This window comes from Homo sapiens, chromosome X, assembly GCF_000001405.40.
Source record: "Homo sapiens chromosome X, GRCh38.p14 Primary Assembly".
In the NCBI taxonomy this organism is placed as follows: domain Eukaryota; kingdom Metazoa; phylum Chordata; class Mammalia; order Primates; family Hominidae; genus Homo; species Homo sapiens.
Window position 1 is genome coordinate 152,678,493 of NC_000023.11, and position 25,111 is coordinate 152,703,603.

General features: G+C 47.7%; 1 protein-coding gene, 1 long non-coding RNA gene and 1 pseudogene across 8 annotated transcripts in view; 2 read left to right on the forward strand and 1 right to left on the reverse strand.

The window, feature by feature from the left end:
- Positions 1 to 20,235, reverse strand: part of MAGEA3-DT (MAGEA3 divergent transcript) — a 144,351-nt gene extending 124,116 nt beyond the window's left edge. For all 3 annotated transcript variants that reach the window (XR_938525.3, XR_001755976.2, XR_001755975.2), the window contains exons 1-2: positions 20,139 to 20,235; positions 19,103 to 19,161 (exon numbers count right to left, since the gene is read on the reverse strand). This is a non-coding gene — a long non-coding RNA (MAGEA3 divergent transcript). The remainder of the gene's footprint in view (positions 1 to 19,102; positions 19,162 to 20,138) is intronic.
- LOC100420250 (MAGE family member A4 pseudogene) lies at positions 4,454 to 5,351 on the forward strand (annotated as a pseudogene).
- MAGEA3 (MAGE family member A3) lies at positions 20,302 to 23,855 on the forward strand. Of its 5 annotated transcripts, XM_011531160.4 has the most exons (4): positions 20,302 to 20,337; positions 20,714 to 20,772; positions 22,130 to 22,195; positions 22,276 to 23,855. In XM_011531160.4, the coding sequence occupies exon 4, from the start codon at positions 22,341 to 22,343 to the stop codon at positions 23,283 to 23,285; it is 945 nt and encodes a 314-aa protein (XP_011529462.1). In that variant the 5' UTR covers positions 20,302 to 20,337; positions 20,714 to 20,772; positions 22,130 to 22,195; positions 22,276 to 22,340; the 3' UTR covers positions 23,286 to 23,855. The 5 variants fall into 5 exon arrangements, with proteins under 5 accessions (XP_011529462.1, XP_006724881.1, XP_005274733.1 ...); XM_006724818.3 differs by lacking the exon at positions 20,714 to 20,772 and having other exon boundaries at positions 20,302 to 20,582; XM_005274676.4 differs by lacking the exon at positions 20,714 to 20,772 and having other exon boundaries at positions 22,066 to 22,195.

Sequence of the window (25,111 nt, forward strand, 5' to 3'; positions counted from 1 at the left end):
GTTAATATTGTTATGTGTGAATCTCATCCTGTCATTATGATGCTACCTGGTTATTTTGCTCGTTAGTTGATGCAGTTTCTTCCCAGCATCTGGCTGGGGAAGAGCCCCCGTGGGAAGGTGTGTGTCTTCTCCCAGAGGCCACTACAATCGCAGGCACTGCAGCTCCCCAGGGAGCACCTGGCCTGGGACCCGCAGCCATTCTCTGCAAGGGGTACAGCTGGGCGAATACTCAGAGGTGACAGAAACAGAGCATCCCCCACCCATCACTTCATCAAAGAGCCAGGAGCCAAGAGGAGAACCCTCCTGAGTAAGGATTGAGGGTCCACTCACCCCACATAGAGGGACCACAGAATCCAGTTCAGCCCCTCCTGTCAGCCCTGGAAGACCCTGACAATGTTGTCGCCCCGACCATATCCCTCCCTCCACTGCCACCTCAGGGGACTCGGAGTCAGTGCTTTGGTCTGAGGGGAGCAGACACCATCCACACAGGATGGGATCCAGGCTCTGCCAGGCATCAAGGTCAGGACCTTGAGGATGACTGAGAGTGCCCACCCCCTCGACCTCGACCCCCCACCCCCACCCCCATTTCCACCCCCACTCATAGCAGAATCTGCTATGACACCAGCAGTCAACCCAAGGAAGCCCCAGGCTTGGTGGCCGGATGTGACGGCTAGGGGGTCAGAGAAGCGAGGGTCTCGGTCTGAGGGGCGGCTTGAGATTGGCAGAGGGAAGTGGACCCAGGCTCTGTGAGAAGACAAGGTGAGAGGCTGAGGGAGGACTGAGGACGCCTCCACCCCAGATAGAGGACCCCAAATAATTCAGCGTCACCCCTGCTGCCAGCCCTGGACCACCTAGGGGAGTACTTCTCAGTCTGGGCCACCCCCCGGCGCCCTGCCAACCCCCGCCGCTTATGCCACAGGGGACTCTGGAGTCAGAGCTTGGTGTGACCAAGGCAGGGGTGGTTAGGAGAGGGCAGGGCCCAGGTTCTGCCAGGTTTCAAGGTGAGGACCCTGAGGAACGACTGAGGGCCTCCCTCACCCCCAAGCCCACCGTCACCGCCACGACCTACAGCCTCAGGATCCCCATCCCCATCCCCATCTTCACCCCCATCCTCGCCCCCACCCCTCCTCCATTCCCATTCCCATCCCCACCCCCACCCCGACAGAATCAGGTTTTGCCCCTGCTGTCAACGCAGGGAAGCCCCGGGTGCCCGGATGTGATGCCACTGATTTGCGCCTCAGGGATCAGAGGGAAGCGAGGGCCTGGTTTTGAGGGGTGGCTTAAGATCGGCGGAGGAAAGCGGGCCCGGGCTGTGTGTGAAGGAAAGGTGAGGCGTTGAGGGAGGACTAGGGACACCCCGTTGCAACCCAAGATAGAGGACCCTAAAAAATCCAGCACCACCCCTGCTGCCAACCCAGGACCACCCGGGGGCGGACTTCTCAGGCTGGGCCGCCCCCAACTCTCTGCCACTTAAGCCTCAGGGGACTCTGGAGTCAGAGGTTGGTGTGATCAGGGCAGGGCTGCCTAGGAGAGGGCAGCAGCCAGGCTCTGCCAGCCATCACGTTCAGGACCCTCAGAGAGGGTTGAGGGCTCCACAGAGCGGGGCTCTGTCCTTGCTGTCAGCCCTGGGAATTTCCAGGCATGGTGGCCAGGCATGTGGATCCTGGCATGGGCATCCAGGGCTGACGGAGGGAAGGGGCTTCATATCATGAGCACGGATTGCGGGGAGCAGAGGGAGGGCCCAGGCCCTGCTGGGAGACAAGGGAGGCCTGAGAGAGGCCCGAGGGCACCCAGGACCCCAGGACAGGGGGCCCACCCACCCCCTGTTTGAGACTGAGGTGCCTCCTCATTTGGCCTTGGGAATCTGAGGGATGAAGACTCAGGTCAGCAGGCTGGGGTGGGGCCCAAGCCTGCCAGGAGTCAAGGGCAGGAAGAAGAGGGAGGACTGACGGGAACTTGGAGTCCAGATCAGTGGGGACCTCGACCCTGGGAGGTCCCAGGCACAGTGGCCACATGTGGCCTGGACTCGCTGTGCCTTTGGGGTGTCAGGGAGGAGAGGACTGTGGTCTGGGGAGTGGGGCCTCAGGTCAGCAGAGAGAGGAGTCCCAGAGCTCTGAAGGATGACTCAGAAGACCTTTCTTCCCAGACTTAGGAAACCTGCCCCTACTGTCAGTCCTGGGAGGCCTGGGCAGGACTGTGGGGAAGGGATGCTGTCCCACCACTTTCTCCCTGAGGGTATCAGGGACATGGTGGCCTTGGCATACAGTTCAGCAGGAGGGAAAGAGCCGGGCCCTGTCGGGACTCAATCTGAACACCTGGAAGACACCCAGACAGCGGAGGGCCCCCTGAAACTTGCACCTTCTGTCAGCTTTGGGAATCCCACGCAGGGGTGACCGTGTGGTGCCCCCTCACCTCTACCTCCCGGGTCTCAGTGAGGTGGGGGCCTTGGTCTGAGGGGCGTCCTCCGCTCAGCAGAGGTAGCCACACCTGGTCAGCACCGGATAGAGTCCAGGGTCTTCCAGGAGTGAAGGGGAGGAAGTTTGGTAAGGACTGAAGGTAAGAAGTTACCTCCACATCATAAAGAAGAAGGGAACTTGCAGAGCCGCCCAGCTTCCCCTGTTCTCAGCCCTGGGAGGCCACAGGCAGGGATGGCATGTGGCATGCTCTCATTTCTGCCATGTGGTTGGAGGTGGGAGGTCTCAGGGAGGTGAGGACCTTGGTCCCAGTGACACTGACAGGCCAGTAGAGGGAGCCACACCTGGTCAGCAGAGGGAGGAGTCCCAGCATCTGCAGGACCCACGGTGTGCACCTTTCATGAGGACTGGAGGTACCCCCAGCCCAGAAAGAAGAGACCCCGCAGAGTCTGCTGTCCTTGTTCTTAGCTCTGGGGGGACCTGATCCAGGGTGGCCCTAAGTGGCAATCTCACTTGTGCCACGGGCAGGAAGTTGGAGAACCCTCAGGGAGATGTGGTCTTGGTGTAAAGGGGAGATGTCTGCTCATCTCAGGGGGCTGAGGGTTGAGGAACGGCAGGTCCCGGCAGGAGTAAAGATGAATAACCCACAGGAGAACTTTGGAACTTCCACCCCAGAACAGAAGGGGGCAGCCCCTGGTGTCAGCCCTGGACACCCCATGGAGGGGTGACGGGATGTGAGTCCTCCTCATGTCGGCTTTGGGATCTCAGGGAGGTGAGGACCTAGTTCTCAGTGGGTTACTCAGGCCAACACAGGGACCCCCATCTGATTAACAGACAGAGCGGACCCAGGATCTGCTAAGACCCCAGGTGAGGAACCTGAGGGAGGATTAAGGGTACCGCTGGACCAGAAGGCAGATGGAGGCCCCACAGAAATCTGCCTTGCCCCTGCTGTTTCCGCAGAGAGCATGGCCAGAGCTGTCAGTTGAGGCCCCCTCTCTTATACCAGGATCAGTGGTCTCAGGGAGGGGGAGGCCTTGGTTGGAGGGGCTGCATTTAGGTCAGAGGGAGGGTCCCAGGCTCAGCCAGGAGTCAAGGTGAGGACTAAGTGGACCCCACACGGCGAATGCACATGACCCAGCCCTGCCCTGCCTTTTCTGTCAGGCATGGGAAACTGCAGGGAACAGTGGGTGGATGGAATCCCCTCACTTCCTTTACTGGTGTCTCTTGGAGATAGGGATTTGATTTAAGGTGGTGGCCTCAGGTAAACAGGGAGAGTCCCAGGATCTGCAGGCATCAAGATGTGGACCAAGCAGGTTCCTCATCTCAGGACACATGGACCCAGCTGAATATGGCCACCTCTTACTGTCCTTGCCTGGAAGCCCTGAGCAGGTGTGGCCAGATGTGGGTCCCCTCATGTCCTTCTGTTCCATATCAGGGATATGAGCTCTTGATCTGAGAGTTTCTCAGGCCAGCAAAGGGGCAGGATTCAGGCCCTGCTAGGAGAAACGTGAAGGTCCTGAGTGAGCATAGAAGGGGCCATCTATGCAAAAGAGTGAGGGAACTGACAGAGTCCAGCCCACCCTCCTGACAGCACTCGGGGGACTGAGGCTGTGCTTGCAGCCTGCACCCTGAGGGCCCCTTGATCCCTCTTCCAGGAGCTCCAGGAACTTGGAGGTGAGGCTTTAGTCTGAGTCAGTGTCCTCAAGCCACAGAGCAGAGGAGACCCAGGCAGTGCCAGCAGTCAAGGTGAGGTGTTCACCCTGAATGTATACCAAGGGTCCCACCCACCCATAATGGATGGGACCCCAGAGCGCCCAGCCCCACCTGCCCTACCCTCAGCCTTGGGGCCTTGGCCTCTGCTGGCTGGCTGTAACCTGAGAAGCTGTGTCACTTCTTTCTTCAGATTCTCAGGGGACAGGCTGACCAGGAGGACAGGAGCCCCAGGAGGCCCCAGAGGAGCACTGAAGGAGAAGATCCGTAAGTAGGCCTTTGTTAGAGCCTCCTCCAAAGTCTGGTTCTTAGCTGAGGCCTCTCACACGCTCCCTCTCTCCCCAGGCCTGTGCATCCCCATTACCCAGCTCCTGCCCACACTCCCGCTTGCTGCCTTGACCAGAGTCATCATGCCTCTTGGACAGAGGAGTCAGCACTACATGCCTGAGGAAGGCCTTGAGGCCCAAGGAGAGGTCCCTGGCCTGGTGGGTGGGCAGGGTCCTGTGCCTGAGGAGGAGGAGGCTGCCTCTTCCTCCTCTAGTCTGATCATGGGCACCCTGGAGGAGTTGTGTGCTGCTGAGGCACTGAGTCCTCCCCAGAGTATGCAGGGAGCCTCCTCCTCCCCCACTACCATCGATAACACTCTATGGAACCAATCCGATGAGGGCTCCAGCAGCCAAGAAAAGGAGGAGCCAATCACCTTGCCCATCCCAAGTGTCATGGAGTCCTTCCTCCGAGAGGCACTCTGACAAGGTGTCTGATTTAGTTAGTGTCCTGCTCCACAAGTTTCGAATTAAGGAGTCAGTCACAAAGGCAGAAATGGTGGATAGTGTCATCAAAAATCACGAAGACTACTTCGCTTTCATTTTCAAGGAATCCTCCGAGTACATGCAGCTGATCTTTGGCATCGACGTGAAGGAAGTGGTCCCCACCGGCCATTCCTATGTCCTTGTCACCTCTCTGGGCCTCTCCTATGATGGCATGCTGGTTGATGACCCGAGCAAGCCCAAGACGGGCCTCCTAATAATTGTCCTGTGTGTGATCTTCACGGAGGGCAACTGCGCCCCAGAGGAGGTTATGTGGGAAGCCCTGAATGTGATAGAGGTGTATGCTGGGAGGGAGCACTTCATCTATGGGGAGCCCAGGAAGCTGCTCACCCGGGATTGGGTGCAGGAAAATTACCTGGAGTACTGGCAGGTGCCCAGAAGTGATCCTGCATGCTATGAGGAAGAGAGAGTTTCAGCAGGCGATGCAGCCAGGGCCAGTGGAGGGTGGGGTGGACTAGTGCACGTTCCAGGGCTACATCCAGCAGCTTCCCCACCCTGTGTGACATGAGGCCCATTCTTCACTCTAAAGAGAGCAGTCAGCGTTCTCACTAGTGAAAGGCACGGTGGGTGGAAGGGAACTCAGTGTATAATGTCTTTGTGTTCTGTTCTATTTGGATGAGTTTGCTATTTTGTAAAACATATTGGGAAGCCCTTCATCTGGTTTTGCGGTTTGGAACAAGATGCCATGGCATTGGAATAGGTGTTTCCTTGGAGAATGAAATACATTAGCAAAAAAATTGATGGGGTCATGAAACAGAGAAATAAAAGGAAAAGATAGGCTGCTCTGCCCGTAGAGTAGCTATTCTTTTATTTACTTTCTTAATAAACTTGCTCTCACTTTACTCTATGGATTCACCTCGAATTCTTTCTTGCACGAGCTCCAAGAACCCTCTTTTGGAGTCTGCACTGGGACCCCATTCCAGTAACATCTTTCCGGTGAACCCTGAAGGGACAATACTGAGGAAACCCCCTGACCCAAAGGAAATAGACGGCAGCACTGACTGGCAGACTTTGGAGTCAGGAAAACTTTTCTTCTGGGCTATTGACAGCTTTTAACAATTCAGTAAAGTATACTTCTGTGAACAAAATTCAGAGCATATTTGTTTCTCTCTACCTAATTTCTCTAGAATTTGGAAACTGCTTGTGAATATTCTTAACTTATAGCAATATAGTTATTTGCATAAGTGCAATAAGAATCTGTTTTCTTTTGCAACAAGACACAATTGGAGAAACTGGTTATTTTACCAAGGCTTTGACTGGAATGGTGTTCTTTCCTTTAAGGGATCAAACTTGACTTATAGAGCCAATAAAAACCCCTTGGGAAAACTAGCCTCATAACTTGTCTACACAGTCCCTGTGCAGGGTTACTGACCTGTGGTAAGTAAAGAATGTCATTATCTGACAGGCCCAGGAGCCCCAAGTTATCTTGGGACCTCAAGAGGAGAGGATTTTACCCAACTCAGAGGTATTTGACGGCACCCACCCCAGGCTGGACTCAGCTTTAAAAAGGTCTTATCTGAGATTCCTTCTATGGAACAGAGCTCCATGAAAGCCATTTATTTTTATTTTTTATTTTCATTTATTTATTTATTTATTTATTTATTTATTTATTTATTTATTTATTTTCGAGACCGAGTTTTGCTCTTGCTGCCCAGGCTGGAGTGCAGGAGGGTGATCTTGGCTCACTGCAACCTCCGCCTCCTGGGTTCAAGCGATTCTCTTGCCTCAGCCTCCCGAGTAGCTGGGATTACAGGCACCCACCACTACGCTCGGCTAATCTTATATATATATATATATATATATACACACACACACATATATATATATACACACATATATATGTGTATATATGTGTGTGTGTGTGTCTGTGTGTGTGTGTGTGTGTGTGTGTGTGTGTGTATATATATATATATAATTTTTTTTTTCTTTTAGTAGAGATGGGGTTTCAACATGTTGGCCTGGCTGGTCTTGAACTCCTGACCTCAGGTGATCCGCCCACCTCAGCCTCCCAAAGTGCTGGGATTACAGGCGTGAGCCACCATGCCCGGCCCATCAAAGCCAGTTTTAAAAGAGCTTATGTGAGGCTGGGCGTGGTGGCTCATGCCTGCAGTCCCAGCACTTTGGGAGGCTGAGGCAGGAGGACTGCTTGAGCCCAGGAGTTCGAGACCAGACTGGGCAACATTGGGAGACTGCCTCTATTAAAACATAAAATAAAAATAAAAATATAAAGAGCGTATGTGAAAAATAATTATTCTTGCTGCACTTTATACAAATGATCAGGCCAAGTATAATAAAACAAACCAGTCTTACCATGATTTGTCTTTAGTAAAAATGGGAGACTGGAGAGAGAAAAAAATATGATGTTGCAAAAACTATGGTGCACCTGTTATTAGATTCTAGTTTCATTCGTTGTTTTAAAGTTTTTTTCTGCAATTTAGACTCACTTTTCTTATTCCTGTGAACCAATCAGTGATCCCTGACTGCTATTTAGAAGAAGCAAGAGGGATGGGTAATGTAAAAATCTGGATCAATATTCTAGTTCTGGGCACATATTGAAATCAGATAGTGACCCCGTATCAGCCTGGTTCTAACAGTTGCCCAGTTCAAGGAAAGCCTTCTTACTTAGTTTACCTTGGGATAATTTTACTTATTTTGCTTTACTGTTGTGGAATACACTGGTGTTGTATTCTTGGTGCAGGAGTGCAGGATAAGCTTACTCAATGTTTTCTTAAACTGAACACTTATTAATCTTCCAGATAACATGTTTTGTCAGAACTCAGAGTTGTGTATGACCCTCACCAAACTGACGCTTTCTGACTGAGCTCCTCTCTGTCCTGAATTCAAAAGACTCTCATAATTAGGCAGTAATATCATCACCCCTATTCAGCCTGAAGAAGTTACAGAAGATGGATCTTCATCCCTCTACAACCCTTAGGAATAAAGGTTCTCAGATAAAAGGGAGGAGGGAAATGTCAGAGGTGTTTGAACCAGAGCAACTCCATCTTGAACAGGGTCTGGGTAAAATAGGGCTGAGACCTACTGGGCTACATTCCCAGGAGGTAAGGCATTCTTAGTCACAGGATGAGACAGTATGTCGGCACAAGATACAGGTCATAAAGACCTTGCTGATAAAACGGGTTGCAGTAAAGAAGCCAGCCAAAACCCACCAAAGCCAAGATGGCAATGAGAGTGACCTCTGGTCATCCTCACTGCTCATTATATGCATTAGCATGCTAAAAGACACTCCCACCGGCACCACGACAGTTTACAGATGCCATGGCAACGTTTGGAAGTTACCCTATATGGCTGAAAAAGGGGAGGAGCCCTCAGTTCCAAGAATTCCCCACTTTTTTCCTGGAAAACTCATGAATAGTCCACCCCTTGTTTAGCATATAATCAAGAAATAACCATAAAAATGGGCAACCAGCCGGGCGCCATGGCTCACGCCTGTAATCCTAGCACTTTGGGAGGCCAAAGGGGGTGGATCACGAGGTCAGGAGATCGACAGCATCCTGGCTACCACAGTGAAACTCTGTCTCTACTAAAAATACAAAAAATTTGCCGGGCATGGTGGCAGGCACCTGCAGTCCAGCTACTTGGGAGAATGGGGCAGGAGAATGGCATGAACCAGGGAGGCGGAGCTTGCAGTGAGCCGAGATCACGCCACTGCACTGCAGCCTGGGCGACAGAGTGAGACTCTGTCTCAAAAAAAAATAAAAATAAAAATAAAAATAAGAAGGCGACCAGCAGCCCTCAGGGCTATGGAGTAGCCATTCTTTTATTTCTTTACTTTCTTAATAAACTTGCTCTCACTTTACTCTAAAAAATAGAAATAAAAGGAAAAGACAGTTAATTCTCAGCTTTTTATTCATGTGCTGTTCTATAAAATTAAGCCATATATGTGTACCTGGATTTTCTTGGCTTATTCAAGGATGTAGGAGAAATTATATCTTAAATGGAAGTCCTGGTCACTGGCTCATTCTTTCTCAAACACTCACTGAGCATCTGCTCTTTGGAAAGCACTGTGTTACTGGAGATACTGGCATAAGTCAGACCCACCCCTACCCGAAGGGTGGTAGAGTCTAGGAGCTATAGTCATAAAATTAAGTTGGTGAGATTTCCTCTAAGACCTAGAGGAAAAGTAAGAGAGGGCAGAATGTGTGGTGCTCCCGGTGAGAGTGGTGGAGTGTAAATGCCCTGAGCCAGGGCCTTTTGGGCTTTGGGAAACTGCAGTTCCTTCGGAGGAAGCTGATTCTAATGAAGCTGGTGGGTCCAGGGTCAGATTCTCAGGGAGAGAAAAGCCTGGAATGGAAAACTGCTCTGAGCAGTTCATTATGGTTGGTGGATGAACATAGACGAGTTTCCACCTGGGGCAGGAATGGAAGGCATCCTGTGCTCTTATCCCAGTGCGGTTGAATACAGCCCAAGAGCTAGGTGATGGATACTCATCATCTGCAAGGGTTTCCTGGGAGGTAAGGGTGAATCTCTCAGGAAGGGAGGCCCAGAAGCCACTGGCAAGGTACTCTTCTGCCTTAGTGGGAGAGCTAGAGCTGACTCTAGTCAAATGGCATTCTAATTAGGTTATCTCAAGTGTAATTTGGCCATTCCTGAGCATGGGCTAGATTTTGCGTGGTGATTATATGAATGAAAATAGTGGTTGAGATGGAAAAGCAGCTGAGAGGGAGGAAAAGAGTTGGTCCTGGACTCACGTTCCAGGAACACTGAGCTGCAATCCAGCTGAAGAAGACTCCTCCACACACAAATTAAACAATAGATCCTCTAGGAGGGAAATTCTACTGTGTTTTGTCTATGAAGCAACACTTTGGGCTGAGTTGGTATTCTATTCTCTGTACTGTTGTGCTACGTACTCTGAGGTTTCCTAGATAACAATAACAACAGCAACAACAAAATTCCCAGAGGCAACTATGGTAGGATCTGAGTTCCAAATAGTAACACAAATAACTGCCAAACATTAACGATCTAATATATGCCAGGCCCTGAGCCAAGTGCTTTACTTACATTGCACACACTCCAAAAGTCCTATAAGACAGACTTTATCAAACCTGCTTCACAGATGAAGAACCTGATGCTCATGCGGCTTGATGATTTCCCCATAATTACATGGCTAATAAGCAACACGGTTGGGATTGCATCCCTGCTAGATTAGGATGGGCCCCAATCCAATATGACTGGTGTCCTTATAAGAAGAGGACATTAGGACACAGACACACACAGAGGAAAGACCATGTGAAGACACAGGAAGAGAATGGCCATCTACAAGTCAAGGAGACAGGCCTCAGGACAACTCAACCCTGCCCACACCTTGAGCCTGAACTTGTAGCCTCCGGGACTGGGAAAATACATTTCTGACGCTTAAGCTCCCCCAGTCTGTGGTACCTTGTTATGATAGCCAAAGCAAACTAATACACATGGTCCGAATTCATCTGAGTGTATGTCATTCCTTCTCGTCCCAACCTGAAGCAGACCTTCGTCTTGCTATTTACTTCTCAGGAATCCACGTCTCTCAGGCAACCAAAAGAAGGACCCTGTGGTCAAGCTACAAAAAGTATGCCTATAGAAGTGCTATGGACTGAAATGTGCTCCCCTCCAAAAAAAAAAAAAAATGTATATGTTGAAGCTCTAAGTCCCAATGTGATGGTCTGGAGATGGGGCCTTTGGGAGGTAATTAGGGTTAGATGAGCTCCTGAGAGCGTAGGCCCTCATGATTGGATTAATGTCTGTATTCGTTCATTCTTGCGTTGCTATAAAAAAATACCTGAGACTGGGTAATTTATTAAAAAAAATAGGTTTAATTGGCTTACGGTTTGCAGGATGTACAGGAAGCGTGGCAGCATCTGCTTCTGGAGAGGCCTTAGGGAGCTTTTACTTATGGCAGTAGGCAAAGAAGGAGCAGGCTCTTCACTTGGTGAAAGCAGGAGCAAGAGAGACGGGGGGGGCATTGCCACACACTATTATATGACCGTATGTCGTGAGAAATCACTCACTATCATGAGCACAGTACCAAGGTGATGGTACTAAACTATTAATGAGAAATCTGCCCCCATGATCCAATCACCTCCCACCAGGCCCCACCTCCAACACTGTGGATTACAATTCAGCGTGAGATTTGGTGGGGACACTGATCCAGACCATATCAGTGTCCTTATAGGAAGAAATGCCAGAGAGCTTGCACATTTTTCTCTTTCTCTCTCTGCCATGTGAGGACTCACAGAGAAGGTGGGCATCCATAAGCCAGAAAGAAGACCCTCACCAGACACCCACCATACTGGCATTCTGACTTTTGGCTTCCCAGCCTCCAGAACTGGGAGAAAATAAGCATCTGTTGTGTAAGACCCCCAGTCTATAGCATTTTGTTACAGCAGCATGAAATGACTAAGACATGAAGGAAGGTGACAATGAGAACCAACACAATTTAGGAATCGTCTGTGGTTCCTTGAGAGCCAACTCTGTCCAGGTGCCAGCATTTCTGTGCATTCCCAGCACTTTCCCGAATTATAGCACCCTTCCACAATGGTCTTGCCCCATGTGCCTGCCTGTCCAATTCTGGAATCGAGCTTGCTGCTAAGCTCTTCATGGTTGCATCCTTTAAAGGCTGTGCCCTACTTCCAGTGGGACAGCCAAGAGTCACCTGCCCTTCTCCTAACATAGAACAGTTCTACTTTCTGGAGAAGTCCCCTGACTGTCCCTGTTCCTCACACTGGGGCCCCTCTAATAGCAAAAATACATTTGACTTTGAATAGAGACCTTTAGACATCTGATCATCCTGTTGGATGTCTTCAACACATTCTTAAAATGTTTTCCAAGTCAGCTGGTGAGTAGCGTCTGATTTTGACTTATAATATATCAGTTCCTGGGATACAACCCTGAAGTTAGAAAGTGTTTGAAACCATCCTATATTTACAATAGGACTTTAATAAGCTGTCTCATTGGAAACTGGCCACAGAGCACATACATAGATGGTCAAAAGCCAAAGCCTCTTGTATTAGCTCAGGCTGCCATAACAAAGTACCATAACAAAGTACCACTGGGTGGCTTAAACAAATAGGTAGATGTTTCTCGCATTTCTGGAGGCTGGGAAGTTTGAGATCAAGGTTCTAGCAGGTTTGATGCCTGGTGAGGGTCTCTTCCTGGCTTGTAGACAGCTACCTTCTCTGTGTGTCTGCACATGGCAGAAGGAGAGAATGCGAGCAAGCTCTCTGATGTCTCTTATAAGAGCGGTAATCCCATCACGAAGGTTCCACCTTAATGACCTCATCTAACTCTAATTACGTCCAAAGGCCTCATCTACAGATACATCACACTGGGTCTTAGGGTTTCAACATATGAGTTTTGGTGGGGGTGGGGGCACAGTTCAGTTCACAGCATCTCCTTCATAAGTGACAGATGAGGAAGGACTGTCAAAATCACTGTGGGGCAAATATCTACTGAAGCTGAATTCCTAAAACCCTAAAGTTCTCCTAGGAGACGAAAAGTGGTTCCTCGGTAGGCATGCTAGCTCTGATTAGAAATGGAAAAAAAATCAGAAATGAAAAAAAGAACTCTCTTGGCACTACTTCTGGTCTGTGGATCTGCCCCACAGGAAAGACATAGCTTTCAATGTGTCTAATGGCATCTGAACAGACGTTCAGGTAACAGGAGGGTAGCAGAGACCCACAGGTTGAGGTTTTACCCATGAATTAAAAGAATGAGAAATTCTCAGCCTACTAAGGTTTCAGACATTATTGCAAATGACAGTGCAGAAAAGTGTTAGTAAGTGAAGATAGTTAGTATATCTAACTATACTAGTGAGTGAAGAAGTTAGTATATCACACGAGGTGCTGAGGTATACTGGATCCTTAGAAAACTACATGTGATCCTGTATTTGAAAGCATCTGTCATACAGTACACACTTAAAAAAAGTTGGAGAACGTAAAGAAAATCTGGTTTTCTCCGAAACTCCTCCCAGCAATGAAGAGGGCTGTTGTCATAGCAAATAATAATAGTTCCTTTTTGTTGAGCACCTACTATGCAACAGTTTATGGGAGAGACTATAGTGCTCACCCACATCTCATCTTCCTCTCTTTCCTGGATACATGGGAACAGTACAGTCCACTTGTAGTTAGGAAGGGTCATGTGACAACCCCTTACCACTGAAACATGAGCAGAAGCATTGTTTGTCACATCTAGACATCTGAGAGCCAGTGTGCCATTTCCATGCTTTCTCCCTCCATCTAATAGTAAACATGGCAGCCTCATGTTGAGGTGGTGGAATCCCGAGGTGGAAGCTGCCTGGATACCTGGGTCACGGGAGAGTGGAGAGGCCCTGTCAAACCACATCAGGACTCATGTGCACATTAAATAAACTTGTGTTTTGTCATGTCACTCAAATTCCAGGGTTTGCCTATTGCATCAGCTAGCAGTTACTTCAGTTACTTTAACTGACTAATACACAGCTACTATTTTTGCTGTTAGGCTTATTTAGATATTGTAATTTAAAAGATAATTGTGCCTATATTCTTGTTGCAAAAGAAATCTAAAATACAGATAATTCACAATTCTTCTCTGTATAAAGTTCCTCCACAATTCAGCCCGCACCTCAGAGGTCACCACAATCAGCAACCTGCTGTGTACTATTTTATTGTATATTTTTATTCTTTTCTGTTTTAGTTTGTTTTTGAATGCATTTATTTCACAAATATGTTCATTAGGTGCTATAAAAATGTTTGTATCACCTTTTGTGTTTGTATAAATTAAATCAACAATAATTTCGGTCAAAATTAGTAGTCCCGAGAATTTTTCTCCTTTATACAGGGTGCATATCCGGGGGCCTTCAAAAAGCTCATGAAAAAAAATTGAATTAAAAGATAAAAATAAAAAATATGAACCAATTTCTGAACATAAACTATATCAAGTTCAAGACACTTTTGTAAGTGACGATACCAGATATTTAGTCCATTCCTAAAGAACTGAGAGTCCTGGGAATTTAACCACGTCAGTGCAGTCCTTTTACATTATTAACTGAAGAAAACTGAGTGTCCTTTGACAACTTCTCAAGATTTGGACTGTGGGCTTTTGCGTTAACGCTGAAATGAGTTAAGACTTTGGGGGACTGTTGGGAAGGCAGGATTGGTTTTGAAAGGTGAAGACATGAGATTTGGGAGGGGCCACATGTGGAATGATATTGTTTGGCTCTGTGTCCCCACACAAATCTCATCTTGTAGCTCCCAATATTCCCACATGTTGTGGGAGGGACCCAGTGGGAGATAATTGAATCATGGGGTTGGGTCTTTCCCATACTGTTCTCGTGATAGTGAATAAGTCTCAAGAGATCTGATGGTTTTAAAAACGGCAGTTTCCCTGTACAAGCTCTCTCTCTCTTTGTCTGCCGCCATCCATGTAAGACGTGACTTGCTCCTCCTTGCCTTCCACCATGATTGTGAGGCCTACCCAGCCACGTGGAACTGCAAGTCCAATAAACATCTTTCTTTTGTAACATTCCCAGTCTCTGGTATGCTTTATCAGCTGTGTGAAAAGGAATAAATACAGAGGGGTTCCCCTACTTCATTTGAAGGTTTATTAACTAACAATAATCAGTATAGTGTGGAATTGTCCTAAATTTAGAAACACATAAAAAGAAGAGAGTAAAGTCCAGGAATGGATCCACATGTATATGCATATATATATAAGTCAAATATTGATAAAGATACAAATGAAGATTCGAGGAGAGAAATGATAGTGTATTCAACTGGGTCTAGAACAACTGGATATCTATATGCAAAACTGAATTTCAATCCGTAATTGCTTTCTTCCTGTCTATCTATCTATCTAGCTACCTACCTACATATCTATCTATGTAAAAAGGGAGGGAGAGAAAGAAAGATAAAGGTTTCATAAGGAATTATCTCATGTGATTATGAGGTCTTGTATATCCCAAATCTGTGAGGCAGGCCAGCAGGCTAGAAACTCACACAACATTTTTATGTTAGTCTTGCGGTAGAATTCCTTTTCCAGGAAACCTTAGTCTTTTCTCTTAACACCTTCAACTAACTGGATGAGGCCCATCCACATTATGGAGATTAAACTGCTTCCCTTAAAGTCAACTGATGGTAAATGTCAATCACAACTACAAAATACCTTCACAACAACATCTAGACTACTGTTTGACCACACGGCTGAGCACTATAGCCTAGACAAGTTGACACATAATACTAACCATCGCACATATCTTACACCATACAAAAATGTAACTCAAAATGAACCACAGACTTAAATGTCAAAATTATGGGTTTTTTTTTTTTCTGTAGGAGAAAACAAAAAAAAATTGTGTTACCTGAGGTTATGTCTTAGTAAGCTCAGGCTGCCCTAACAAAATGCCATGGACTGAGTAGCTGAAACAAAACAAATTTATTTTTTTTCACAGTTTTGAAGTATGGAAGTCCCAGATCAAGGACTGGCAGGGTTGGTTTCTGGTGACGGCCTTATTCCTGGCTTGTAGATAGCCCTTTCTCAATATATCCGTTCTTGGCCTTTCCTCTGTGCATGTGCAGAGAGAGAGAGAGAGAGAGAGCTAGTGCAGGCACACAAGTAATTTCTTCTGTCTCTTCTAACTGCTTATAACCATACTAATCCTATGGGATCAAGGCCCCACCCTTATGACCTCTTTTAATATTAATTACTTCCTTAGAGGCCTCATCTCCAAATGCAGACACCCCGGGGCTGAGGGCTTCAAAGTATGAATTTGGTGGAGGACATAAGCATTAGCAAAGAATGCACACATAGATTAATAAAACAGAATAGAGCTCAGAAATAGACCTGCACACTTATAGTCAGGTGATTCACAACAAAGGCAATAATGGTGAAAGTACAGTTTTTCCAGCAAAAGGTGCCTGAACAATTAGACATCTACAGGCAAATTATAATAACCTAGAAACATCCTTACATATTCCAGAAAAATTAACTCGATATAAATCACAGACCTAATGCAAAATGCAAAAACTATACAACCCTCTATAAGAAAACATAAGAGAAAATTCACATAACTTTGAGTTCAGTGGTGAGTTTTTAAATTCAACACCAAAAGCATGATCAATGAAAGAAAAATTTACCAAGTAGATTTTATTAAAATAAACATCATGTGCTCTTCAAAGGACAATGTTAAGAGAATGAAAACAGAAGCCACAGACTAGCAGAAAACATCGGTGGTACACATATGTGATAAAGAACATATCTCTACAACATACACGAATTCTTAAAGTTCAACGACAGAAAAAACATGAAAATAGGCAAAGATCTGAACACACTCCTCACAAAAGAAGATATACACATGGCAAATAAGCATAAAAAAGTACTGAGAATCCGTTCTCATTAGATAACTGTGTACTAAAATGAGATACCACTACACACCTATTAGAATGTCCAAAATCCATAAAAAAGCAAAAAAAAAAAAAAAAAGAAAAGAAAACCAAGATCAATTGCCAGGGAAGATGTGGAGCAACAGAAACTCTCATTCATTGCTGGTGGAAATGCAACATGGTACAGCCACTTTGGAAGACAATTTGGCGTTTTCTTAAAAAACTGAACACAGCATAAGATTCAGCAGTCATAATCAATTTACCCAATTGACGTGAAAACTTACGTCTACATAAAAATTTGTATACGATTGTATACAAAAGATTATTTCATAATCACCAAAAATAGAAGCATCCAAAATGTATTTCATTTGGTGGATGGATATATATATACACACGCACTATGGTACAACCAGACAATGATACTACTACTCCTCAATGAAAAGGAATAAGTTCTGAGCCACACAAAGTTATACATGACTCTTCAGTTCATTATGCTAGGTGAAAGAAACCAGTCTAAAAAGGCTACATAGTATGCGAGTCTATTTATATGACATTCAGGAAAAGGCAAAATTATAAAGATGAAACACCTATCAGTGGCAGCCAAGGGGGTTATCTGACAAGCACAGGGGATTTATCAGGGCAGTGAAACTAGTATGGTAATACTGTAATGGTGGATGCATGCTTGCTTTCATCTGAATATTTGTGTTCCCACAAACTTCATCTGCTGAAATACCAAGGTGATGGTATTAGGTAGAAGGTGGGGTATTTGGAGAATGACTAGTTCATGAGAGCAGAGTCCTCATGAATGGGATCAGTGTTTTTATAAAATAGACTCCACAGAGATCCCTTGCCCCTTCTTCCATGTGAGGACATAGGGGAAAGGCAACTGTCTATGAACTAGGGAGCAGGTCTCCATCAGACATGAAATCTGCCAGCACCTTGATCTTGGACTTCCCAACCTCTAGAATGTGAGAAATAAAGTTGTGTTGTTTATAAGCCACCCAGTCTACACTATTTTTGTTATGGAAGCCCAAAGGGACTAAGACAACGGCACGAGGCATTTGTCAAAACCCATAGATCTTTACAGCACAAAGAGTGAAGCTTAATGTATGTAAAGTCTAAAAGTAACTTAAGAAGTTGGAGAATCATGGGACAGAATGTAGAATGTTACACACACACACAAACCTAGCTGTATTATACATGTATGAAACCACTACAGTGAAGCAAGTGGCGGGAAAGTTACCATATTTGGGTACTCCATCAAAGAAATATGTTTTTTATAAAGTATAAGTCGGCCAGATAAGCATGTAAAATAGTTGAATATTTGATAATCATTTATATAATTTTTCAGATATGAAAACTATTGGGATTCTGTTTAATAAAACGTCCTTATCTTTTAAAAATGCATATTGAGTTATTTCGAGATGAAATGGTCTAATGCCTTAGATTCGCTCCACGTTATTCCAGAAGCTGATGTGCAGGTAGGCAAGTGTCTAACTGGAACCAGATTTGCTGTGTATTTAAAGTTGTTCATGCTGGGTATCTAGTATCCTGGGTTCATTACATTAGTTCCTATTATTCTGTATGTGTGAAGGCTTTCCCTAGTAAAACTTTTTTTATAATAAATATGCCATTAAAAGTGAAATCCTAAATGAAACTGACCACTTTGTAGAAATAAAATAAACCAGTAACCAAACTGATCCAAAAAGAAAAAGAAAACTTTAATTAAACTATAAAAACTGAAACTGTACAATGTTCAAAGCTCAAGCCACCTTCAAACATTCCAGGTTAGGCAGTATTGGAGGCCAATTCTACCAAATGATCAGGGAAAACTAACCACCATCTTATCTCATCTCTTCTAGAACATACAAAATATTTACAATTGTTCAATTCATTCTTCCAGACTAGCCCTCCTGGATTCAAAAACCAGATGAGGACCACATCCCACCCTTGATGGGAAAAAAAGCACACATTAAGTAAGCTCCCTTACATAGCAGCAAATATCCTACGTAAATTACTAGCATATTAAATAAACAGGCTCTGCCCAAGGAAATAACATACGGTTTAACATTAGGGGAAAAAAAAAAAACGGTTTCATTGTAATTCCTTACATACAAAATGGAGGAGAAAAAAATTTGATTGTGTCAACGGGTACAGAAAAAGCTTTTTAAAGAAATTTAATATGAGTTCATGGTAAAAAAAAAAAAAGTATTTAACCTATATTCAAAGAGAAATTGCACTTCCTAAAATCAACAGCAAACATACTTAAATGCAAAACGTTCGAATAATTATCATTCACGTCAGGAACGAGAAGTAGATGTAGGCTATTATCTCTACGATTGAAATCAGGATTGAGACACAAAGAGCTATAAGTACCAAAATGAGTAAGTGGTATGAATACTGGAAGAATATGTAATGTTTAGTGATAATACCATTATCGATCTTGAAAATTCAAAGGAAAAGGTATGTGGAATATTCAAGTGCATCGGCCTTCAGAACGAGGAGTGCAACAGATTACTACAGCAAAATCAAAATCTTCACCTCACGAAAGCAATAACTAACTACAACAATTAATAGACAATATGCCATTTGCAATAGCAACAAAATTCATGAATTGCCTGAAAAGAAGTCTAATAAAAATGTATAAGGTCTTTATAGAGACAACTGTCGAAGTATACTGACATATTCAGGTAAAAAAAAGCTTGAAATACATAGAGGAGTATAACATATTCATTCATGGGGAGCACAACACTGTAAAAATGTAAACTCAGCTTAAATTATTTACAATTTAGTGCCTTACCTGTAGCCGCCGCCATTACAACAAATTTGGGCTGCTGTGCTCTGCTTCCCAAATCAAACCTGGAAAATTACAGAATGGAAACAGTAAATAAAAAACCAGTATCAGCAACAAAATCTACGCAACAAAACAGGGAAAGCCCAGGGTGAGACTCAAGGCTGTGTTGAGCTGGTACTTGTGTTTGACACTTGCAGTGTTGGTTGGAGGGGGTTAGCAGCAGGGATGTTGGGGAGGTTTGTAGCCGGCCTACACGGTAGATGACAGAATGGGTAGAATAAAAGTTTGAAATTTTCCACTTCACTTCTTTGCACAATCTGAGGCAGCCTCTGAAAACACGATGCCAAGAGCCCTAGGTAATAGCAGGACACCAGGAAAATTTGGTTGGTTAAGGCAGTATGACTCCAGAGTTCTGCTAATAACAACCTGAAACCACCATAGTGGCAGAGGAATTACATTTTTAAAAAAAAAAAATTCTTTCAACAGAACACAAAGACTGAAATAGGAGGTCACTACAACCGCGGGAGCTGCCGCCCCGCCCTGCAGGGAGCACCTGGCCTGGGACCCGCAGGCATTCTCTACAAGGGGTGCAGCTGTGCAAATGCTCACAGGTGACAGAAACAGAGCATCTCCTGCCCATCACTTCATCCAACAGCCAGAGGTGACGAAGACGACCCTCCTGAGTGAGGACTGAGGGTCCACACCGCCCCCCCACCCCACACACCATAGAGGGACCACAGAATCCAGCTCAGCCCCTCTTGTCAGCCCTGGTAAACGCAGGCAGTGATGTCACCCAGACCACACCCCTTCCCCCAATGCCACTTCAGGGGGACTCAGAGTCAGAGACTTGGTCTGAGGGGAGCAGAAGCAATCTGCAGAGGATGGCGGTCCAGGCTCAGCCAGGCATCAACTTCAGGACCCTGAGGGATGACCGAAGGCCCCGCCCACCCACCCCCAACTCCCCCGACCCCACCAGGATCTACAGCCTCAGGACCCCCGTCCCAATCCTTACCCCTTGCCCCATCACCATCTTCATGCTTACCTCCACCCCCATCCGATCCCCATCCAGGCAGAATCCAGTTCCACCCCTGCCCGGAACCCAGGGTAGTACCGTTGCCAGGATGTGACGCCACTGACTTGCGCATTGGAGGTCAGAAGACCGCGAGATTCTCGCCCTGAGCAACGAGCGACGGCCTGACGTCGGCGGAGGGAAGCCGGCCCAGGCTCGGTGAGGAGGCAAGGTAAGACGCTGAGGGAGGACTGAGGCGGGCCTCACCTCAGACAGAGGGCCTCAAATAATCCAGTGCTGCCTCTGCTGCCGGGCCTGGGCCACCCCGCAGGGGAAGACTTCCAGGCTGGGTCGCCACTACCTCACCCCGCCGACCCCCGCCGCTTTAGCCACGGGGAACTCTGGGGACAGAGCTTAATGTGGCCAGGGCAGGGCTGGTTAGAAGAGGTCAGGGCCCACGCTGTGGCAGGAATCAAGGTCAGGACCCCGAGAGGGAACTGAGGGCAGCCTAACCACCACCCTCACCACCATTCCCGTCCCCCAACACCAACCCCACCCCCATCCCCCATTCCCCATTCCCATCCCCACCCCCACCCCTATCCTGGCAGAATCCGGGCTTTGCCCCTGGTATCAAGTCACGGAAGCTCCGGGAATGGCGGCCAGGCACGTGAGTCCTGAGGTTCACATCTACGGCTAAGGGAGGGAAGGGGTTCGGTATCGCGAGTATGGCCGTTGGGAGGCAGCGAAAGGGCCCAGGCCCTCCTGGAAGACAGTGGAGTCCTGAGGGGACCCAGCATGCCAGGACAGGGGGCCCACTGTACCCCTGTCTCAAACCGAGGCACCTTTTCATTCGGCTACGGGAATCCTAGGGATGCAGACCCACTTCAGCAGGGGGTTGGGGCCCAGCCCTGCGAGGAGTCATGGGGAGGAAGAAGAGGGAGGACTGAGGGGACCTTGGAGTCCAGATCAGTGGCAACCTTGGGCTGGGGGATGCTGGGCACAGTGGCCAAATGTGCTCTGTGCTCATTGCGCCTTCAGGGTGACCAGAGAGTTGAGGGCTGTGGTCTGAAGAGTGGGACTTCAGGTCAGCAGAGGGAGGAATCCCAGGATCTGCAGGGCCCAAGGTGTACCCCCAAGGGGCCCCTATGTGGTGGACAGATGCAGTGGTCCTAGGATCTGCCAAGCATCCAGGTGAAGAGACTGAGGGAGGATTGAGGGTACCCCTGGGACAGAATGCGGACTGGGGGCCCCATAAAAATCTGCCCTGCTCCTGCTGTTACCTCAGAGAGCCTGGGCAGGGCTGTCAGCTGAGGTCCCTCCATTATCCTAGGATCACTGATGTCAGGGAAGGGGAAGCCTTGGTCTGAGGGGGCTGCACTCAGGGCAGTAGAGGGAGGCTCTCAGACCCTACTAGGAGTGGAGGTGAGGACCAAGCAGTCTCCTCACCCAGGGTACATGGACTTCAATAAATTTGGACATCTCTCGTTGTCCTTTCCGGGAGGACCTGGGAATGTATGGCCAGATGTGGGTCCCCTCATGTTTTTCTGTACCATATCAGGTATGTGAGTTCTTGACATGAGAGATTCTCAGGCCAGCAGAAGGGAGGGATTAGGCCCTATAAGGAGAAAGGTGAGGGCCCTGAGTGAGCACAGAGGGGATCCTCCACCCCAGTAGAGTGGGGACCTCACAGAGTCTGGCCAACCCTCCTGACAGTTCTGGGAATCCGTGGCTGCGTTTGCTGTCTGCACATTGGGGGCCCGTGGATTCCTCTCCCAGGAATCAGGAGCTCCAGGAACAAGGCAGTGAGGACTTGGTCTGAGGCAGTGTCCTCAGGTCACAGAGTAGAGGGGGCTCAGATAGTGCCAACGGTGAAGGTTTGCCTTGGATTCAAACCAAGGGCCCCACCTGCCCCAGAACACATGGACTCCAGAGCGCCTGGCCTCACCCTCAATACTTTCAGTCCTGCAGCCTCAGCATGCGCTGGCCGGATGTACCCTGAGGTGCCCTCTCACTTCCTCCTTCAGGTTCTGAGGGGACAGGCTGACCTGGAGGACCAGAGGCCCCCGGAGGAGCACTGAAGGAGAAGATCTGTAAGTAAGCCTTTGTTAGAGCCTCCAAGGTTCCATTCAGTACTCAGCTGAGGTCTCTCACATGCTCCCTCTCTCCCCAGGCCAGTGGGTCTCCATTGCCCAGCTCCTGCCCACACTCCCGCCTGTTGCCCTGACCAGAGTCATCATGCCTCTTGAGCAGAGGAGTCAGCACTGCAAGCCTGAAGAAGGCCTTGAGGCCCGAGGAGAGGCCCTGGGCCTGGTGGGTGCGCAGGCTCCTGCTACTGAGGAGCAGGAGGCTGCCTCCTCCTCTTCTACTCTAGTTGAAGTCACCCTGGGGGAGGTGCCTGCTGCCGAGTCACCAGATCCTCCCCAGAGTCCTCAGGGAGCCTCCAGCCTCCCCACTACCATGAACTACCCTCTCTGGAGCCAATCCTATGAGGACTCCAGCAACCAAGAAGAGGAGGGGCCAAGCACCTTCCCTGACCTGGAGTCCGAGTTCCAAGCAGCACTCAGTAGGAAGGTGGCCGAGTTGGTTCATTTTCTGCTCCTCAAGTATCGAGCCAGGGAGCCGGTCACAAAGGCAGAAATGCTGGGGAGTGTCGTCGGAAATTGGCAGTATTTCTTTCCTGTGATCTTCAGCAAAGCTTCCAGTTCCTTGCAGCTGGTCTTTGGCATCGAGCTGATGGAAGTGGACCCCATCGGCCACTTGTACATCTTTGCCACCTGCCTGGGCCTCTCCTACGATGGCCTGCTGGGTGACAATCAGATCATGCCCAAGGCAGGCCTCCTGATAATCGTCCTGGCCATAATCGCAAGAGAGGGCGACTGTGCCCCTGAGGAGAAAATCTGGGAGGAGCTGAGTGTGTTAGAGGTGTTTGAGGGGAGGGAAGACAGTATCTTGGGGGATCCCAAGAAGCTGCTCACCCAACATTTCGTGCAGGAAAACTACCTGGAGTACCGGCAGGTCCCCGGCAGTGATCCTGCATGTTATGAATTCCTGTGGGGTCCAAGGGCCCTCGTTGAAACCAGCTATGTGAAAGTCCTGCACCATATGGTAAAGATCAGTGGAGGACCTCACATTTCCTACCCACCCCTGCATGAGTGGGTTTTGAGAGAGGGGGAAGAGTGAGTCTGAGCACGAGTTGCAGCCAGGGCCAGTGGGAGGGGGTCTGGGCCAGTGCACCTTCCGGGGCCGCATCCCTTAGTTTCCACTGCCTCCTGTGACGTGAGGCCCATTCTTCACTCTTTGAAGCGAGCAGTCAGCATTCTTAGTAGTGGGTTTCTGTTCTGTTGGATGACTTTGAGATTATTCTTTGTTTCCTGTTGGAGTTGTTCAAATGTTCCTTTTAACGGATGGTTGAATGAGCGTCAGCATCCAGGTTTATGAATGACAGTAGTCACACATAGTGCTGTTTATATAGTTTAGGAGTAAGAGTCTTGTTTTTTACTCAAATTGGGAAATCCATTCCATTTTGTGAATTGTGACATAATAATAGCAGTGGTAAAAGTATTTGCTTAAAATTGTGAGCGAATTAGCAATAACATACATGAGATAACTCAAGAAATCAAAAGATAGTTGATTCTTGCCTTGTACCTCAATCTATTCTGTAAAATTAAACAAATATGCAAACCAGGATTTCCTTGACTTCTTTGAGAATGCAAGCGAAATTAAATCTGAATAAATAATTCTTCCTCTTCACTGGCTCGTTTCTTTTCCGTTCACTCAGCATCTGCTCTGTGGGAGGCCCTGGGTTAGTAGTGGGGATGCTAAGGTAAGCCAGACTCACGCCTACCCATAGGGCTGTAGAGCCTAGGACCTGCAGTCATATAATTAAGGTGGTGAGAAGTCCTGTAAGATGTAGAGGAAATGTAAGAGAGGGGTGAGGGTGTGGCGCTCCGGGTGAGAGTAGTGGAGTGTCAGTGCCCTGAGCTGGGGCATTTTGGGCTTTGGGAAACTTCAGTTCCTTCTGAAGGAGCTGACTCTAATGAAGTTGGGTGGGCCCAGAGCCAGATTCTCAGAGTGTGGGAGAAAAGCCTGGAATGGAAAGCAACTCTGAGCAGTTTCTTTCGAATGGGGGATGAACAGAGAGGAATCTCTACCTCAGGCAGGAATGGAAGGTGTCGTCTGCTTTTGTCCCACTGCTGTTGAACGCAGCCCAAGATCTAGGTGATGGACACCCATCATCTGCAAGGGTTTCCTGAGCGATAAGGCTGAATTTCCCAGGAAGGGTGGCCCAGAAGCCCCTGGCCAGGTGCTTTTCTGCCGGGCAGGGAGAGCCAGAGCTGACTCCATTAAAAAAGGCATTCCAACTAGGTTATCTCAAGTGCAATTTGACCAATTGTAAGCACGGGCTAGATTTTGGATGGTAACAAAATGGATGAAAATGGTGGTTTGGGTGGGAAAGCAGCTGGGAGAGAGAGAAGCAGTTGGTCTTTTGACGCAGATTGTAGGAGCTCCGAGCTGCACCTGGCTGGGCGAAACTCCTGCACACCCAAATTTTGAAGCGCGTTCTCTGAGAGGAAATACTTAACTGAATTTTATGGAAGAAGCTTCTGTTTGGGGCTAATTATTCCATGTCCTATTGAGCTGTATATTCTCTGGTAAGTCCTGGAGAACAACGACAGCAACAACAAAATCCCGGAGTGTTAGGGCCTCGGGTTAAAAAATATTGGAAATAACAGCCATCCGCCATTTGTTAAACTTCTAATTTATACCAGGCCCGGAGTCAGGTGCTTCACCTGCGTTGCATACACTCCAACTGTCCTACTAGACAGTCCTTATCACATCTGCTTACAGATGAAGAATCCAAGGCTCACAGGGTGTGTGAATTGGGATATAAAAACAGGGTATTTCCTGGGTATTTCCCAGGATCACGTGGCTAGTGAGGAACAGGGCAGAACCCGACCCCTGTTCTGAATTCCTTTAGAGCCCATGCTGTTCCCACTTCTCCCAGC

Excerpts from the sequence above, each read along its gene's own strand:
- MAGEA3 (XM_006724818.3), top strand. The coding sequence starts at position 22,341 with ATGCCTCTTGAGCAGAGGAGTCAGCACTGCAAGCCTGAAGAAGGCCTT.